Source organism: Homo sapiens, chromosome Y (genome assembly GCF_000001405.40).
Source record: "Homo sapiens chromosome Y, GRCh38.p14 Primary Assembly".
NCBI classification, from domain to species: Eukaryota; Metazoa; Chordata; class Mammalia; order Primates; family Hominidae; genus Homo; species Homo sapiens.
The window spans coordinates 23,798,251-23,802,894 of record NC_000024.10 but is presented as its reverse complement, the minus strand read 5'-3'; positions in this window follow the sequence as shown (position 1 = coordinate 23,802,894).

Below are 4,644 nucleotides of genomic sequence, written 5' to 3'. Positions count from 1 at the left end.
AATTTTCTTTTTTGGTGTGTCTCTGCAGGGTTTTAGTATCAGGATGATGCTGGCCTCATAAAATGATTTATGGAGGATTTCCTCTTTTTGTATGGTTTGTAAAAATATCAGAAGGAATGCTACCTCTTTGTATCTCTGGTAGAATTCAGCTGTGAATCTGTCTGGTCCTGGATTTTCCTTGTTGGTAGGCTATCAGTTACTGCCTCAATTTCAGAACTTGTTAATGGTCTATTCATGGATTTAACTTCTTCTTGGTTTACACTTGGGAGGGTGTATGTGTCCAGGAATTTATCCATTTCTTTTTGATGTTCAAGTTTATTTGCATAGAGCTGTTTATAGTATTATCTGACAGTAGTTTGTATTTCTATGGGATCATTGGTGATATTCCCTATATCTTCTTTACTATTCTGGCTGGTGGTATATGTATTTTGTTGATATTTTCAAAACACCAGCTCATGGATTTATTGATTGTTGAAAGGATTTTCCGTCTCTGTCTCCTTCAGTTCTCCTCTGATCTTAGTTATTTCTTGTTTTCTGCTAGGTTTTGAATTCATTTACTGTTGCTTCATTTGTTCTTTTAAATTTGACGTTAAGGAGTCAGTTTTAGATCTTTCCTGCTTTCTCTTGTGGGCATTTAGTGCTATCAATTTTTCTCTACACACTGCTTTAAATGTGTGCCAGTGATTGTGATATGTTGTGTCTTCATTCTCATTGGTTTCAAAGAACATCTTTATTTCTGCCTATTTCGTTATTTATCCAGTAGGGATTTAGCAGCAGGCTGTTCAATTTATATGTAGTTTTGTGATTTTGAATGAGTTTCTTAATCCTGGGTTCTAATTTGATTGCACTGTGGTCTAGGAGGCTCTTTTTTATAATTTCCTTTTTTTTTGTATTTGCTAAGGAGTGTTTTAATTCTAATTATGTGGTCATATTTTGAATACATGTTATGTGGCCCCTAGAAGAATGTAGATTCTGTTTATTTTTGGTGGATAGTTCTGTAGATATCTATCAGGTTTACTCAGTCCACAGCTGAGTTCAAGTCCTGAATATCCTTGTTAATTTTCTGTCTCATTATTTGCTGCTTGTTCTTTTCTCTGGAAGCTTCATCGCCAAGGGGCCCCTGTAAGATGCCAGCCAGTGCTCTGCTGTATGAGGTGTCTGTCAGCCCTTACTGGGAGGTGTCTCCAAGTCATAATACACAGAGGTCAGTGATCCACTTGAGAAGACAGTCTGACCATTAGCAGAGCTGGAACGCTGTGATGGGAGGTCTGCTGCTTTCTTCAGAGTCATCAGACAGGGATGTTGAAGTCTGCTGAAGCTGCATCCATAGCTACCCCTTCCCCCAGATGCTCTGTCCCAGGGAGAGGGGGGATTTATTTATAAGCCCCTGACTGGGGCTACTGCCATTTTTACAAAAATGCCCTAGCCAGAGAGGAAAAATCTGGCAATCTGAACACATGAGCCTTGCTGGGCTGCAGTTGGCTTCACTAGTTCAAACTTCCCTGCAGCTTTGTTTACACTATGAGGGTATAAGGGCCTACTCAAGTCTCAGCAATAGCGGATGCCCCTCCCCCACCAAGTTGGAGTATCCCAGGTTGATCTCAGACTGTTGCTTTGCTCACAGTGAGAATTTCAAGCCGGTGAACCTTAGTTTGCTTGCCTTCGTTGCGGGTGGCACCTAGTGAGCCAGACCACTTGGTTGCTTGGCCTCAGCACCCCTTTCCAGGGGAGTGAACAGTTCAGTATCCTTAGCATTCCAGGCACCACTGCGGTATGGAAAACAAACAAGGAAACCAAAAGACAAAAACAAACAAACAAAAAAAAACACTCCTGCATCTAGCTCAGTGTTTGTTCTAACAGCCTCCCCATTTTGTGCTTGAAACGCACAGCCCTTATGGAGTAGGCACCAAAGGGAGTCTCCTGTCTGCAGGTTGTGAAGACCATAAGAGAGGCACATATGTGGAACGGGGCACGTGGCTAAGTCCCTCACAGCTTCCCTTGGGTAAATCAGAAAATTTCCCAACCCCTTTAGCTTCCCGGGTAAGGTGATGCCCCACCCTGCTTCAGCTCATGCTGCATGGGCTGCACCCACTGTCCAACCAGTCCCAATAAGAGGAACAGTGTACCTCAGCTGGTAGTGCAGGAATCACTCAACTTCTGCATCGATCTCTCTGGGAGCTGAAGTCTTGAGCTCTTTTTATTCAGCCATCTTGCCAGCAATCCCCCCCATTTTTTTAAAATTTTAATGGTGAAGGAGGCATTAACTGGAAATGTAAAACTATGCAAATTCTAGAAGAAAGCACAAAAAGAAATTTATGTGATCTTGGGTTTGGTCAAAAGTTTTAACAAATGATACCAAAGCCGACCAGTAATGGTAAAAAATAATTAATAATTTGTTTTCTTATATTAAATGTTTATACTCTGAGCAAGATCTTGTTCAGGAAATAGAAAGATAAGCAACAGACTGAAAAAAAAATCTGCAAAATACAGATCTAAGCGAGAATTTGCACTGAAAATACACAAATCTTGAAACTTAAAAATAAGATTGATTACCCAATTAATAAGGTGTAAAGAGCTGAACTCACCAATGAAAATACACAGATGGCAAGCAAACAATAAGATGCTCAAACTCATATATCTATAAGGGACTGAAAATTACAACAATGAGTTAGCATGGCCCAACTGTATTTGCTGGAACTGATAAACCATTTTTAAAACATGACAAATGATTTGCTGGAGGAAAAACAGGAATTCATTCATTGCTTGTGGAATGTATGATGGTATCGAAAAAAATAACTCTTTCTAATTCTCAAATTAATCTGAAAGCCTGTTTCTCTCTTTTACCATGCACAGAAGGAGTTATCTGGTCTACCTTTTGATGACAGACCCAAGATCTAATATAATCTGTGCATCTGGCAGCAGCCACTGGGATCCAGGCAGAAAGAAGATGGGCCCCACAGTCAAAATCATCTAAGATCTTTTTAATAGAGAGTGACTTATGCAGGTTACCCACAAAGGATGGCAGAGTTCCCGGGGATAGTAACAGGAACACACTCTCAGCAGTCCTTGGGAATGGAGACATTAACTCAACCTGAAATTTAAAAGGAAAATTTACATTTGAATGTTGACTTTATAGTGCTGCAAAAGTAAAATATGGCAGGCTCCTTTAAGTATAGTGCCACAATTTAACTAAGGTCACCAAACAGATGTCTGAACCTCTGCAAAAAGACCCAAACTACAGTAGCAGAAATTGCCTTCTGCACTACAGTTGGGACAGAGGAAGTTTTATGGACCACATCTCATGAAGCAAGTGCTTCTAAGATTATCACCCCATTTTTGAGAGGCAACGAAGGACCTAACAACAAGCTCTCATCATAGCAATATAAATTTGATTCAAATATGAAAAGGTAAGGTAAAACTGGCCAGTCATGGTAGCTCCTGCCTGTAACTCCAGCAATTTGGGAGGCAAAGATAATAGGAATATTTGATTTCAGAAGTTCCAGACCACCTTGGGCAACATGGAAAAACCCCATCTCTACTAAAAATACAGCAGGGCACTGTGGCTCAGGCCTGTAATCCCAGAACACTGGAAAATCATTATGGGCAAATCGCTTGAGGTCAAAAATTCGAGACCAGCCCAGCCAACATGGTGAAACCACACCTCTACTAAAACTACAAATATTAGCTGGGCATGGTACTGGGGTGTCTGTATTCCCAGCTACCCAGGAGGTTGAAGCAGGAGAATCATTTGAACTCGAGCACAGTGGTTGCAGTGAGCCCAGTTCGCGTCATTACACTCAATCCTGGACAACAGAATGAGACTCCATCTTAAAAAATAAAAAAGAAAGAGAGTAAAAAAAAAAGAAATAGATAATTTGCTTCATGTGGTGGGGCATGGCTATTATCCCAGGTTCTTGGGAGGTGGAAACACAAGAATTGCTTGAACCTAGGAGGTGATGATTATAGTGAGCCGAGAGCACACTAGTGCACTCCAGGCTGAATGACAGAATGAGATTCAGTCTCAAAAAAAAAAAAAAAACCACAAACAAAACATAACGTTTTGTGTAGTGCTTTTCTAGTATATCTCATATTTGAGTATGAAGGCAGAGAAAGTTCTCACATTAAGTTAAACTTGCAAAAATAAACTTTATATTTAAAATATTTTAAGTGCCTCAAGTTCCAGCATCATCTTCAGATAGCAAGCACAAGAATAAACAGAAAAATAGAGAAGCAATGGCATGTGATAAGTGCAACTCATTTTGTTTTAATCTGTGAGATAACACTGTAATGACAGAAATTTTTAGCTGCTGCTGATGCAAGAGAGAACAGGTTTATGTAGAAATAAACTAATAATATTGGTCACCTGCTATGATCTAGGCACATAAGTTAGCTCACTGAATTCCCTCATCAACCATATACTGTGGAAAATATCCTAGAGTTTACTACTGAGGAATATGGAGTCAAAGGGCCTGCCCAAAGGCACACAAGCCATTGGACAAACAGATAGGATTCAAGAAGGACTCTAAGACTCAAAGCACTATCTACACTTTCCTATATGATGTTGATTGAAATTAAGAACTATTGAGTTAACTTTAGTCATCCCCCTCTTTGCCATAGAAATGGCAGTTTATACATCTATAGAGG